This window comes from Homo sapiens, chromosome 3 (genome assembly GCF_000001405.40).
Source record: "Homo sapiens chromosome 3, GRCh38.p14 Primary Assembly".
NCBI lineage: Eukaryota > Metazoa > Chordata > Mammalia > Primates > Hominidae > Homo > Homo sapiens.
This window is the reverse complement of record NC_000003.12, coordinates 117,642,414-117,658,859: the sequence shown is the minus strand read 5'-3', so window position 1 is coordinate 117,658,859 and position 16,446 is coordinate 117,642,414. Positions and strand designations below refer to the sequence as shown.

The following is a 16,446-nucleotide window of genomic DNA, read 5'->3' as shown; positions in this document are numbered from 1 at the left end:
AGAGAAGGAGATGAGGGAAGGAGAGGGAGAAGGAGAGTAGGAAGAAGGAAAGTAAGTTCCACACCCAGCTAATTTAACCAGCAAAAAGAAGATAATTATTTACCATCATACTTGTCTAAATTCCCTTCTTCAAGGACATGGATAGATGCAAACTTAGAATTATAGAACTCTAATTCATTCAGTGAACTCTTAGATGCCCAAGCACATGCAAATGTCTGACATTCAGGAATTGTCTTGAGCTTAGAATATGGCCTTACTTACCAGGGTAAAAGATATGCAATATGAGTTGATTTGGTTTTAAAAATATGCACTCAAATCTCTGAACTATCTAGGATTTCTTCGTGTCATCGTGTTTGATAATTTAACACATAATCCAATCATTTTTTGATATCTGAAATGAACTAGTTATTCTGTTTGTTCCTATTCTCATTTTTAAAAAGTAAATATGACTATCTAAGCTCAAGTAGATATTTCAAGAGTTCTCATATGAAAAGGACTTTCACTGGTGATTCCCTGTTGAAAAATAATGTAAAAATATAAAAGGGAAGAATAATTGATATCACATGTAAGTGTTTATATGGACAGTTTTTATTTATCTTGTGTTACTGAAAAATAAGAATAAAATATCTGCTGGATGCTGGATAGATTGTATGTTGTCCAGCTTCTAGTGCTTCTTATTTTTTGAGTTAAGTCTTTGGGAACACTTTTTGACCTAAGACAAAGCTAAATTCTGTAAATTTGAGCCATCTTGTAACAGATTTCTGCAATCTGTATGAATACAAAGAATTTAATTTAAACTGAAAGCAGAGTGGAGTTTATATGCGTATTATAGTCATCATTTAAGACTCTATTCACCTGGCTTGCATAGCTCTTCTGGACCAGGTGCTATACAACCCTCTGAATCTTGTTGCTGAGTTCAGGAGGAAGCCTAAAATAAGAGAGAACAGGAGACAGCTGGAAAAACACTTGAGTAAAGTTAGGAATCTTCACACTAGTCCCTCCTGGACCAATACGTTTTTCTGTAAACTTGAGAGTGCCCCTGAAGTTTTCTGGGCCTTGGTTCCCTGTAAACAGCAGGAGATGCTTGTAATGATGATGTCTAAGGCTCCACCATCTAGTCCTGGACTGCTAGGTGGTTTCAACAGTTAAGGTGACTGTTGCAAATCACTCTTGACAGAATACAAACTGCTTTCCAACCTTTGTGAGAGGTGAACAGTGAGGCACACCTCCTTACCCAGCGAAATCCATGGATTTCATGCCTATTTTCACCACCACTTCGTGAATTCCCTTAATAATTATGCTGTGCCTAGCCAAGTCTGTCAGGAATTAGCAAATAATTTGGTCTGGTTTTGAAGGCGCTGTCATCTAAGAACATACGCTGACCTTAATCTGCTGAGTCATAGGCAATATTTGTAAATATTTTCAGTGCAGTTAATTTTCCAGAGCCCCCCAGTTGATCCTCTCTGCCTTGCAATTTCTACATTGCCTTTCGGCCATTAGTAATTTTCTTGCAATCTAAAAGCAATACTTAGGACTCAGAAGCTCTGCTCTGATGGACGGTTGGATTATAATGTTTCCTATTTTAGTGCACTGTTGATGGATGGGTCAAGCCAGTAGTAAAAATAAATAAATATAATTTCAAAAACTAGAGGTGCACCAAAGTCTATTTTCTTTTCGTCTTGTAAAATATAATCTAAATTTCCTGTTGTATTGAATGTGTGCAGAACATAGAAGCTTGCTTCCAAAGAATTACTGTACGGTGAGGAAAAACTATTAGCAACTTTACAATGGAGAAATCTAGCAAACACTATGTTGACCAGGTTATCAAGGTTAATGTCACCAGTAACAGGCATGTTGGTATCATATAACTCTAATGGGATGGGATGAGAAGGGCATGCTGCCTGTCTAGTATTCTTCCTCTACACCTATAACGCTAGTATAATCAAAGAAAACAAAAATGTCAGGCAAACCAATTTGAGGATATTCACCAAAATTCCTGTCTAGCACTCTTCAAAATTGTCAAGATCATGAAAAACAAGGAAAGACTGAGAAACTATCACAAATAGGAAGAGACTAAGGTAACATGAGAACTAAATGTAATGTGGGATCCTGAATTAGATCATGGAACAGGAAAAAGACATTAGCAGAAAAACTGGTGAAAGTGAAATAGAGACAGCATTGTAGTCAATAGTAACTTACCAATGTTCATTTCTTAGGTTTTGACTGTTTTTCCTTGGTTTTGTAAGATGATGACATTAAGAGAAACTGGATGAAGGGTATGCAGCAACTCTCTATGACCTCTTAAGCATGTGTCTATTGTGAAAAGAATAACTAACTTAGCTACATGTGCCTGTATTTGTTTGCTAGGCCTACCATAATCACATAGCACAGATGGAGAGGCTTAAACAGCAGAAATCTATCTGACTGTTTTGGAAGCTTGAAGTCTGACATCAAGGTGTCAGTACGTTTGGTTCCTTCTAAAAGCTGTGAGGGAATAACCTGTTCTAGGCTTCTCTCCTTGGCTTCTCCTTGGCTTCTCCTTGGCTTCTGTGTCTCTTCCCATAGTCTGGCCTCTATGCCTACCTGCCACTGAATCCAATCAGGTATCAGGGATTCGGGCCCACCATAATGGCCTTATTTTAACATAAGCACCTCTGTAAAGACCCTATCTTCAAATAAAGTCATATTCTGAGGGACTGGGCATTAGAACTCCAATATATCTTTTTTGGAAGGACACAATTCAACCCATGTCAGCATCTCAGAGTTCTTTAGCCTTTTACATTCTGAAGATATTTTGGCTCCTTCTTCTTTTATTCCCCATATCCAGTGTATGACTAAACCCTACATCTTTTACTTACTAAATGCTGCTCAATCCATGTACTTCTCTTTCTCTGTGCAATCACCGCCACCACTCCAGTCCAAACTCTTACAACAATTTGTCTCGACTTCAGAAAAAAAAGAAAAACCCTCTTCAATTATTTTTCAAATTATTTTTTTTGCTCTGCTCCAGTCTACTCTCTAGATTGTAAGCAGCAGTGTCCTCACAATGCAAATCACCTATGCTTAAAAACATTCCAAGTCTTCCCATTGTTCTGAGAATAAAAGATCAAATCTCTACCATGACCTCAGGGCCCTCTGTGACCTCCCAGTCTATTAGCCACACCAAAAACCTCATCTGCCTCATCCTCTCTGCTCTTGCAGCACTAGCCAATTTTACATCTTTGCAGAAAGCAGAAGCTTTCTCCTGCCATGGGGATTTACTTGTGCTGTGTTCTCCCTTCTATCCAGCTTGCCCACCTGATTACCTCCACTTCCTTCCTGCTCATCCATCAGATCTCAGTTCCAGCATTATTGTATCAGGAACATCTCTCTTGCATCCCTCCAGCCCAGATCAGGACACCTGTTACATGTCATCTGTACATCATACGCTTTTCCTTCAGAGTACTTATCACATTTTGAAATTTTACATTTATGTCATTATTTTATTGACTTTTATCTCCACCACTGGATTGTAAGATGCGTAAGGCAGGAACCACGTATCTTTGACTATCTGCCTCATGTGTAATAACTAGCTATTTAGTACCTATAATGCTTAGCTTATAGTTAGTTCTCAAATTCTTAAATTAATTAATATATCCATAGATTTATTTTCAATTTATATTGTTTAATTTGACACTGTATTTCTTCTCCTGGTCTCTTATAGGTACTTGATAAATTTGCTAATAATATTTAATTCACTTTATAGTTAATGCACTTATATCAAATCAATCACACATACTTCAGGTAAAAAAAGAGAAATAATCATTTTTGTGATTTCCCAACCTAGTGACAACAGAAGGCCAAATTTTATTTGCTAGGCTAAATAGAAGCTTCAACTTTGATAATTTCCATATTTTAAATTGATCAATATCTATAAAATTTATTTTATTATAATTTCTAAATGTTAGAGAGGCAGACCTAAAGCTATATATCTAAGTATATTGAAAATGTTTTAAGTTATATGTGACTGAGTATAGACTTTCTATTGATTACAGGCTTTGAAGTGAGTATGTTTATTAAAAATGTTCTTTGAGCCTTTCCATCACATTATGGAGAGAGATCCAGACATTTTTGTAATACTCATTAGTGTTTGTAATACTAACAAATCTCTTATAGCAAATGTATCCTAAAGAAGTTTTTCCACTCTGAGTAAACAATAACTATGGGATGTTATTGTTTGCTATAACAATAACATGGGATGTTCCATTCCGTGGTTTAACAATTATGTCCCTCTGAAAATACCAACACCCACTTTCACAGACAGCTCAGAAGGCAAAAATATTCAGGACATTTTAATTTCTATAGGACACTAGGGTTTGATTACAGCAAGTGTTTATCTACAGTAGTGTTCTTTTGTGTGTGCAGAAGGTGGAGGGAGAGAGAAGCCTGGCTACTTATGAAAAAATCTATATTTAAGTTAAAATTCAATGCCCCAAGATGAGAATTTTAAATAAATATCCTGAACATTTAATGCGTTAATTTATTTTAAATAAATACCCTAAATATTTAAGACATTAATTTAAGAAGTATGAAATGAATACTTACCATATGCTGACTCTATGTTCAATCTGTAATTCACAGCAATGGCTCAAGTGAACACATCTCCTGTTCTCAGGGGGCTTATATTCTAATGTGGCAACTCAATATATGTCAGTCAAGCTTATGAGGGATCATTTTTGGTCCAAGAGCAATTTCAGAGATATTGATTCAGTTATGTTCTCTTGCTTGAAGCTCTAAGTCTTTAAGAGTGTGGCTGAAAACAATCGCCTCTTGTCAGAAACCTGCTTGTCCAACAGGAGACAGCCTTGCAGATTTAAGCCAAGAAAACCAAGCCCAGCTCAGCCAGAGTGAATTATCTTTGGGATCCTGTGCAAGAGCAGAACCCTCACAGTTGTGTTTGATTGTCCTTCAGTTGCTCTTGCAATATTTGAACAGAACTGCTTTCACTTTGAGAGGATGCATATATGTGTGCATGTCCTCTCTTGGTATGGCATGGACTTACGGAGCTGCTCCCTTACTGAGGCCTCAATGAGAATTATTCCTAATGCTTGCATTGCCCACCTATGGATAAGTCAAATGGAAAAGAGAGGCAAATTAAAGCATCTCCAAGGGTCACCCTCTAGACCGTGGGGTAGTGTGTGTTTGTGTGGGAAGATATATATTTTAGCCTTCTTATCTGTCTCCTAAACGAGTACTTTCTATATAATATCCCATTTTACTTTTCTGTATAATTCAATCTTCCAATATGAAATATTCTTAAACAAAGAATAATCACTTTGTAGTAAAAATAGGACTAGACTGTAGAATCTCCACCACTCCTCTTTGGGGAAGGTTTATTTCACTCCCCCACTCAGCCTCATGTGAATGCATGTGACCACAGGTGAAGTAACCCTGCAGTTTCAGGGCTCAATGCCGTCAGTTCCTATGGTCTCCTCTTCCCTGCCCTATCCTGACTTTCCTCTGCACCAAATTCCACCCTCTGCCCTTATGTCATCATCCTAGTAAAGGGCATCTCCCCAGGCAGAGCCAAAGGAAATCGTATTTGCAATATCAAGCATACCAATACTTGATAATATTTTCCATCTTGTCAAAATACTTCCTTTATATGTTGTACTTGAATTTTTTAAAGATTTTTTTAAGAGAAGATTTAGGCTCACAGCAAAATTGAGAGGAAGGTAGAAAGATTCTCCATACACCCCCTGCCCACACACCTGCATGGCCTTCTCCCCTGTCAGCATCCACCATCAAAGTGGTACATTTGTTACCACTGATGAACCTACACTGACAACTCAAAATCACCCAATGCTCATAGTTTACATTGGAGTTCACTCTCGGTGTTGTACATTCTACAGGGTTGAAGAAATGTGTAATGACATGTCTCCACCATTGTGGTATGATACAGAGTATTTCCACTGCCTAAAAAGTCCTCCATGTTTCATGTATTTATTACCCAACTTCTGGCAACCACTGATCTTTTTATTATCTCCACAGTTTTGCCTTTTCCAGAATGTCAGGGTTGGAATCATAAGTTGTGTGGCTTCTTTCACTTAGTAATATGCATTTAAACTTTCTTCTTGCCTTTTCATGGATTGATAGCTTCCTTTTAGTGTTGAATAATATTCCATTGTCTGGATGTACCACAGTTTATTTATCCATTCACCTACTGAAGGACATCTTGATTTCTTCCTAGTTTTGATAATTATGAATAAATCGGCTATAAATATCCACTGACAGGTTTTAGTGTCCTCATTAGTTTTTAATTCCTTTGTGTAAATACCAAGCAGCACATTTCCTGGATCATGTGTTTTAAAACATGTTGTTTTCTAAGAAGCTGCTACACTGTCCTCTGATATGGCTGCACCATTCTGCATTTCCACCAGCAATGAATGAGTTTCCTGTATTCGATGTTGTCAGTGTTCAGGACTTTGGCTATTTTAATATGTATATAGTAGTATCTTATTTTTATTTTAATTCACATTTCCCTGATGACATGTTATGTGGAGCATCTTTTCATGTGCTTATTTGCCATCTGTATATTTTCTTTGGTGAGGTGTCTGTTAAGGTCTTTGGTCCATCTTTAATTTGCTTGTTTGTATTCTTATTGTTGAGTTTTAAGTGCTCTTTGTGTATTTTGTAACACAGTCCTTTATCAAATGTGTCTTTTGCAAATATTTTCTCCCAGTCTGTGGCTTGTCTTCTCATTTGATTGATTGTGGTTTACTTTTACACCTGGAAGTGGGAGATAATATTACATTGCTTTTGGTTCTTGGTACCTAGCATGACCCCAGATATGTTAGTTCTTAATGTCTTTTTGGAGAACTCCCAATGAGTAAAAAGTGTAACTTTTTTGGATGGGTTAAAGTCCAGTTGAATCCATTCTCTTCACATCACATGAAGAGTTAGAGGGATAACTTTATAGATATCTTTAGAATACTTGATTGTCCTCATTCACCTCCTAAGGTTAGGTGTAAGTTCCCAATTGACATTATCCTAATAAGAACACACACAATGCTTCATTCTCCTCGTCAACCAGAGTGTTTTCCTTTTGCAAGAGGAACTTGCTGCAGAACTTTGCTGTCCATATTGATAAGCTATAATGCTATTCAGTTGGCAAGACATGGCAAGGTTACTTCTCTTGAGGTTATGCTCAGTGGCAAGACACCCATTTACTTAGAAATTAGATTTTTAAAAAGAAGCTTGCTTCATTTTTATTAGACAGTATTTAGAGATTGCAATGTTTGCATAAGCTATTTCTCAGGAATAATTTACTCTAACCCTAACCCTATTCTTGAGGATAGCGTGCTCATGCATAACAGCTGCAGAATATAGGTCATTGTCTTTTATTTCAATGACACTTAGCAGATTCCTTCCATCTGACACGTACAATACTGCTTCTCTGCTTCTTTCCTCTTGACAGAAATGAATGTCGGCCAAAAAGTAGAAACCAAAATAGCAAAATAAAAATATTTTTAAAGTGGAACAATTTCAAAACTGGGCACATGAAGGAGAAATGAAAAATTAATGCCATTGGAATATGTTCTGACCTAAACCTTTAAAATAACTTGTAGCTTTTTTAGTAGGTGGGAGGGCATGATTTTTCTGGAATTTTGTGTAGGAGAAGGAGTTGGCAGGGAGAAGTAACCTCTTGCCCCTCAAGGTCTTGATGGATTAGTCCTGGCCCAAGAAGAGTGCTGATGTTACAGCCATCAAAAGAAGGGGAATAAGCAAAAGTTGAAAAGGGCAAAGGCAGTGGCTCATTTGTGGCAGGGCCACCACTGAGCTGCCCAAAATGTCATTAGGCTGAAACTGAGGAGCCAGCCTTCACAATTGACAATCACTTAAGCCTCCAGCAATAAAGAGATAATATGAGAAGTGGGACAGAGGGAAGGTTTTTTCCCCTTCATTGTTTCCAAGTTGTTTAGAGATGAGAAGATCTGAAAACGAAGCTGTGAATGACCACTCAGGAGCCTCTGGGTACTGCTGACCTCTCTGCAACTCAGTTCGCTCAACAATAAACTCTGAGAGCATATGTGTCAATGATTGCAAGTCACATACATGTTTTATTTAGTCCTTAGAGTTTTGTTCTATTTTGTTCATTAAGTACCCAGCTAAAAATATGAGGGGATTTGTATTTAAATTTTCTTGATAAATTCAATCACTAGTAACATAGTTTCTGAATGATTGCAGTGGGCTCAACCTGATGAAAGTTGTCCCTTTTAGCCTGTCTAGACTGTTTACACTTTATCATAATCATCCTGCTCAGTGGTCTTTCCACCCAAGCCATTTCATGGAATCAGGTTATAAATGCCTTTGTAGGCATTTGGGTTTTAAATACTACTTATAATTACCTGTATCACTTTCAGCTCTTGCATCTATTATCCTTTGATTCTGAAATATCCTTCCACCTATGTAATTACTTATAATTTCATTCATAATTGTTCTCTGAAGCCTGAACTGGTCAGTTGATCAACTGCTGGGTTGCAAGTACAGTGTACATCTAATTTGTTTTCAACAGCTTGCATCATAGCACAATTTTTAACTTGCTTTTCCATGAACATGTTTATTTTCTTCTTGTTTCCTTTTTACAACATCATCTTCATATTAGCTTTTTTAGTGACTCCGTCAGCAATGCGTTTAATATTGCCCCTCACAGGCTGCTCCCACAGCTCAGGGTATCTGAAGCCTTATGAGGTGCAAAGTTCTCACAAATCACAATGAACATTTAACCTAAATGTACATGAGTAGCAGGATTTATTAAAATTTAAATTGACCAACCGATTTGATTTAGTTCTATACCCTGATTCGTTTTAATCTATAAGCATATTTGCATGGGCTAATTTGCATGGCCAATACACAGATGCACATCCATGCATATTTATTTTAAGTAATTTAGGATGTTAATTTAGTAGATATGATAATGCAATCTTAAGTTGAGAAAAATTATGACATAAAAGTCTGGCAGCGTGGGGAGTCTGTAGTATTTAGTGATACATATAAGTAATATAACTGTTACCAAAAAATAACCCCTCAATTACAAAAGATATATGATTTATGTTACTTTTATTATTTTAAAATACACATTTTATATATGATTTTTTACAATATTATTATATTTTACTTAATCTTTTTCAAAAGGCAAAAAGGTGATATTTTTTAAAATAAAGAGGAGATAGTTTCAATCAGTATGTATATAATTTTTTTAATGTCATACTATGAGACAGTATAAAACAGATACAAACGAAACCTCCAGTTGAAGCAAACTAAAGCATTCAGACTCTGTTTATTTGGTATCTACCTACCTCTTTCCTGCCCTTATCCCAGAGCCTCTGAGGCACTTCAATATAGTTCCAAGGTTCTTCAAAAATCTGTTCGAAACCACTGGATTAGATAGTATCTGGTGTTCTTTTGCGCCAATATTCCTTAAGTCTGAAAGTCATTTGTACCTATCTTAGATTTCTTATATAATGTAATTTGATGTCAATAAGTATGTTTAAGACTATATTAATTGTATTTTTTCAGACAGCTAAAGAAGAAGCGTATTATTAAATTATTCTTTATAATAGGGTTTTTTTCTTAATATTTTGGAGGAATAGTGAAACACACAAGAATGATCAATGATCCTGTATGTGCACATTTTCCAGCTGAAATACTAGAGTTCCTGAAGACCAGCTTTCCAAATCTGATCCGAAGGATATTATGTCTCACTTACCAGTCCTACTTTGCTTTTATGCTATCATAAAGACTTAATGATGTCCCATCAAGACACATTAACATTTCCCTTGAGCTGGAATAGTATGAAACCTACCTGAATCCTTTAGCTTTTTGTAATCTCTTTTCCATAACCAGTCTTATATTTCAGAGCAAGTGGAGAGCCTGTTTTAGTACTGCAGATGAGCAATGTGAAGCCAACACCTTGACTATACAATGGAGCATGAAAAAATGACGGGGAGGAGCAGCCCCAAGGTAGCTTAAAGAAAGTACTTGGAGGATATCCAAACTACAAATAATGATATCCTGTGAACCCCACCCCGAACCCCCAGCATGTTTTGTGTTAGACTGAGAGCCCAGGGCTCCTCTCTTCTAACAGAGGAATACGTATCCAAGTCAGGGAGCCAGTCAGGGGAGAAACTGTAGAAATCACTGGAACACATTATGTATGCGCAAGAGCATTGATATTGGATGAAAAATATTACAGCACACAGCCTTGTTTCCTCTTTAAAATTGGACATTTTAATATGTTATTTTCTGCAAGTTGTAGGGAAGGTATACATTATTGATGAGATCATGTTTTATAGAATTTCAGAATTTCTGGCTTTTCCAGTCTATCATTTTCCTAGCATCATAATGAAAAGAATTCTCAAAAAAGAATCTTCCAAGGTTCCGAGGTACGATAATGAGAGAACAGACTGAACGAATGCTCTTTTCATTTCTGTCCTTCTTAGCTCTGTCATCCTTTTGTTTTCTTCTCTCCTCTACCACACTCCTTCTTCACTGTTTGTTGAAGTGAGATCTAGAAGCCAGTAAAAAGAAAGGATGGTTGCTTTGCAGAAAATTTACAGAGCTTTTAATAAAAGGAGGGGCTGTGGGAAAGAGTCACTCACAGAGAAGACCTGTGTTCCTCTCAGGCCTTCCTCCCAATCACCTGAAAAATGGGCAGAAAGAACAAAGAGATGGTTGGTGCTCTGCCTGCGAAGCATAGAGCAAGGAATCCCTGTGCTACCCCTGTGTTTTGTCACCCCTGTTCTCTTTCGCTGAAGGAGTATGTTGTAGAGATTACCTTTCATAATGCTCTAGTTTTGAATATAACTGAAAATGAACTAAAAGTTATGATTTTGAGTCTTAAGCACTCCTTTCATCATCAAGCCACTTCAATATCTTCTGTCAGTCAAACACAGAGAAAGAAGGAAAGATTCCACAAGTGTCCCCTTTTTTGTGTGATTGGAGAACACAAGGCCGTAATTCCATTTCGTGCATATTTGTTGCACAAAACCATTTTCTCTGGTGATGCTTTTTAGCAGTCCTTCTGGCTTTTACCTCATTATCCCCTAGCTGTTTGGAGGTGCAATACTGACCAAGAGGGGAAAGGGATATGAAAGAACATACTTTCCTCTGCAGTCCTCCAGTCTGGAGGCCTGAGGGAGCAGTGCTGGGCACAGGCTTCAGGAGGGTGGGTCACTAATTTTTTCATATGCTAATCTGCATAGCAACTCCATTTTTCCCTGACCATCTGTGCCCAGTCACGTTCACCCTGCAGCCACTTGAACCTGAAGATGTTGTGGGAATTACTGTAATGATGACTGCATGATGGCGGGGCAGGTACCCCTGTAGTCAGCTGGTATCCAGAAGCACTGTAAGAATAAGTAAAACCTCCCCTCTGGAAAATAAGTAACTGGAAATTTGTCATGTTTTCCTTTGGTTAGTCCTACCCTTAAATTTTAAGTTTCTTTGTTATTTAAATCCATAGATTGCAGCTGTAGTCAAACATTGGAGCCATATTTTTCCTGTGTTCAGGGAAAGTTACTGCTTGAATCTTAAGTGTATCTCAAATTGCTCAATGTAAACAATTCCAATGCCCAGGGAAAGAGTGGGATAGAGGAAAATTATACATCTGCCTAGTATTTTTCCATTTTCAACATTCTTTTTTTTTTTACTTGGACAAACCTTCATCTGAACCATAGATTAACAAATTATTAAAAATTATACATGGCTAAGGAGTGGCCATCCAGCCAAGTCAGGTGAGCCAGTTGTTAGGCCCAAAATATTTCCTGACTCAGTTACTCTTACTAACTACACAGAGATGCATGGTTGTCCTTTTCATGACTCTGTCCTTGTAGGTAATTTAATTTACAAGGAATCCAAGATCAGCACTTGTATAAGTAAATAAATTAATTACTTAATACTATTTCTCAATCATAAATCTCATACCCACCACATTTTGAGAAGATCAATAAATATATTCCGTGAATAATACCCTCGTTTTCAATACTTTAGAATGCCACAGCTGACAGCAAAGACCACTTAGGGGCTAAAGAATATTAGTCAGCATGACAGGCTTCATCCTGGTCAAGAAAGGTTTCACCTCTACTTTAATCCACCTACTTTTTATTATTTCTCTTTTTTTTCTTTCTCCTTCTTAGCACTGCTAGTGCAACTAGCACTAAGAGAACTTATGCATGAAAGAGGCTTTTGTGAGGCTTTGATGAACTTCTATTCCTGCAGAAAGATGCAAGGAATTACCTGGATAGGCAACATCTGGCTTACCCTTCTTTCCCCAAACTGAAATTCATGTTCTTAGGTTGAGAGTAACTTACTGATTCAGTTGTTGATTTTGAAGCTTGAATCATGTCGATGTTTATTTTCATTGCAAGTGACTATTTCAAAATGAAGGAATGAATGTTTTTACCCTAGTATCTTGAAAATGATTAAAAAAATACATTTGACTAACTAAAGTTTTTTTACTTACATTTTATTTTCCAACATGTTATAGTGATCTCAGTAAGATCTAGGATTGGGACACTGACTTTGAGTCCAACTTTTGATTTATGTCATAATTGGTGCCCATATTCATGTAGGTGGGAACTAAATATACAATATTACCCATAGTCAGACAAAATATAGATTTAGACAGAGCCTGGCTTACAGGTAGAAGAATTGGATGAGAAATTGTGATGGGCATTTGGTGTTCAACTCACAGGTAGAGTACAGTGGATGGGTTTAATACTATGAAAACAACTGGTCAGCTTCGTCAGCTCTAAGGACAGAATGAAAGGCAGAGTGGCTTGGATGACTCATTCTGAGAGGATGCCTAGTGAAGGGCTCTTTCACCTATTGTGTGCCACAGACTTCTTTGTCAGTTTGATGAAGACATTGGACCTATTCCAAGATTAATTACTTAATGCATAAATTAAAAATCCAGAATTTAGACTTCCATGTCTGGGAAGATGAAATAGAGTGCTTTTTCCTCTTTTTCCCACTAAGTTTAACTAAAAACCTTAGACATTACATGTACAACAAACAGAAGACTCTGAAAGTTGTAGAGAGGAGGGCAGATAGGTTAGTAACCTTAAGACTGATACAGTGGTGAGTTCCCAGGGTTTGTTAGTTTGTTGTATCATTCATCTCATACTTGTAGGTGAAGAAGCCAGCAACTTAAAAGCAACTTAAAAATACCAACGGGTGGCCGGGCACGGTGGCTCATGCTTGTAATTTCAGCATTTTGGGAGGCTGAGGTGGGTGGATCACCTGAGGTCAGGAGTTCAAGACCAGCCTGGCCAACATGGTGAAACCCCACTTCTACTAATAATACAAAAATTAGGTGGGCATGGTGGTGGACACCTGTAATTCCAGCTACTCGGGAGGTTGAGGCAGGAGAATTGCTTGAACCCAGGAGGCAGAGGTTGCAGTGAGCCAAGATCGCGCCACCCACACTCCAGCCTGGGCTACGGTGCAAGACTCCACCCTGTACTCACCCTGTACAGGGTGGAGTCTGTATCCACCTCTGTCTCCTGACAGAGCAAGACTCCACCCTCAAAACAAATAAAACAAAACGAAACAAAAAACACCAACAGGTACAGAGAAAAACGAAACAAACAGCAGCACCACCAACAACAACAAATATACAAGTGTCTGCAAAAGTTGGCTCTCTCTAGCCAAAATACCAGGAAAGGAGCAGACCATAAAACAGGAAACTTTTAGCCAATAACTATTCTAGTTCAGCCAAACACCACAGAAAATACTGTGGCCCAATCTTCACCCTGGCCAGAAAAGACTGAAGGGAGTGGAAGGCCTAAACTTCCACTCTCACTAGGCAATAATGAAGTGCCTCAAGCTACCCTGTTGGGTAGGTGGAGTAAGGAGACTGGACCTCCGCCTGTGCCTGACAGTAACAAGGTATCCCCGCCTCTCTACACTGAGGTTGTGTCCTCCCTAGTAGAGAGCCAGAACTCTCAACCACCACCCAGCAGTAACAAGGCCACTCCACTGTCAGTGGAAACAACAAGAGGAACAGCAAGGAGGCACTCCTAGCCCTCCCAGACATAGGATTATCAGTTGGAACAGCCAACCCTGCCCAGCAATAACAGAGCCATTCCTTTCTTAGTGACAATGGAGACCCAGCAGAGAAACTAGATTTTTACCCTTACCTGGCAGTAATGAGGCCCCCTCCTTGCTTCCATGCTGAAGCACTGTCAGAAGAAGCCAACTAAAATGGAAGGTTTGAATAAGAGCCAAAGTCTCCAAACATAAACCCCAAAATGTATATGTTCCAGTCAATCTTTATACAGAGAACCAGAAAAATCTCAACTGGAATTTTTAAAAAATCAATAATCATCAATAGTGAGATGACAGATATGTTAAATTATTTGACATAATTTTTTAAAAACCATTATAAAAATGCTTCAGTAAGCAATTACTAACACATTTGAAACAAATGAAAAAATGCAAGCTCAGCAAAGAGCTACAAACCTTTAGCAAAAAAAAAAAAAAAAAAAAAAAGATGATAAAAAAACACAATATCAAAGACATGGAATCAACCTAAATGCCCATCAATGATAGACTGGATAAAGAAAATGTGGTACATATGCACCATGGAATACTACACAGCCATAAAAAAGAATGAGATCATGTCCTTTGCATGGACATGAATGGAGCTGGAGGCCATTATCCTTAGCAAACTGCCATAGGAACAGAAAACCAAATATTACATGTTTTTACCTATAAGTGGGAGCTGAATGATGAGAACACATGGACATAGAGGGAAAGAACACACACTGGGGCCTTTCAGAGGGTGAAGGGTGGGAGGAGGGAGAGGATCAGGAAAAAATTACTAATAAGTACTAGGCTTAATACCTGGGTGATGAAATAATTTGTACGACAAACCCCATGACACAAGTTTACCTATGTAACAAACCTGCACCTGTACCCTTGATCTTAAAATCAAAGTAAAAAAAAAATAGAAATTTTAGAACTGAAAGATACAATAACAAAAATAAATACAACTCAGCAAATAAGCTCAACATCAGAATGGAAAGGAATGGACAATATAGTGAATGATCTCAATGATATAACAATAAAAATTACCCAATCTGAGTAAGAGAGAACATGACTTAAAAAAACAAAAACAAAAACAAAACAAAAAAAAACACAGAGCCTGAGAAACCTATGGGGCTAGATCTAATATTAATGACATTGGGGTTTGCAAACAATAGGATATAAAGGGCAAGACTGAAAAAGTCTTCAAAGAAATAGTGACTATAATTTCCCAAATTTGGCAAAAGAAATAAACCTAAAAATTAAAGAAGCTAATGTAAACCCCTAAGAGATATACCCAGAGAAATTTATATCTAGGCACTTCACAGTAAAACTCCAGAAAACTAAAGGAAAAAAACTATCTTGAAAGCAGTGAGAGAGAAATGGTGCCTCAGCTATAAAGAAAAAGAAAATTGAATGATAGTAGATTTCTCACCAGAAGAAAGTGATGCATTTTTCAAATGCTAAAAGAACTCCCAAACCAGAATTCAATATACAGCAAAACTATCCTTTAGGAATGAAGGGAAAATCATGCCATTCTCAGAGGAGGGAAAGCTAAGTGAATTTGTGACCTGTAGATCTACCCTAAAATAATGGCTGAAGAAATCTCACTAAACAGAAAGGAAATTATAAAAGAAGGACTTTTGGAACATTAGGAGGGAAAAGGGAATAAAGCATAAAAATATGTGTGAAAGTAATACATTGTCCTTCACTTCTTGAGTTTTCAGAATTATATTTGATGGTTGATGCAATATTTTAACACTTGCTGATGTGATTCTCAATATGAATAGGAGAAATATTTAAGGCAGCTGGATTATAAATGGTAAAGGGACATATAGGAAGGTAAAGTTGCTACCCTTCACTCACAATAAAATGTTGATAATGATAGACTGTGACAAATTATGTTTATATTGTAAATACATTGAACTACCAATAAAAATTATATATGAAGACATGCAATTGAAAATACTATAGACAAAAATGATATCCAAGTAAATAATATCCAAGTAACCCGTAGGAAAGTAAAGAGATAGGGAGAGATAGAAATAAAAAACAGAGCAGACTGGGCGCGGTGGCTTACGCCTTTAATCCCAGCACTTTGGGAGGCCAAGGCAGGCAGATCACTTGAGGTCAGGAGTTTGAGACCAGCCTGGCCAACATGGTGAAACCCCGTCTCTTCTAAAAATACAAAAATTAGCCAGGTGTGGTAGTGTGTGCCTGTAATTCCAGCTACTCGGGAGGCTGAGGTGGGAGGATCACTTGAACCCACGAGGGGGAGGTTGCAGTGAGCCGAGATCATCCTGCCACTGCCCTCAAGCCTGGGCAACAGAATGGGACTTCATCTCAAACAAACAAGAAAGAAAGAAAAAAAGAAAGAAA

At 37.6% G+C, this 16,446-nt stretch overlaps 1 long non-coding RNA gene across 1 annotated transcript in view; it reads left to right on the top strand.

The window, feature by feature from the left end:
• Window positions 1–16,446, top strand: part of LOC124906270 (uncharacterized) — a 35,110-nt gene extending 18,664 nt beyond the window's left edge. Inside the window, exon 2 of the long non-coding RNA XR_007096022.1 lies at window positions 1–16,446. This exon is cut by the window's left edge and continues 16,516 nt beyond it. This is a non-coding gene — a long non-coding RNA (uncharacterized LOC124906270).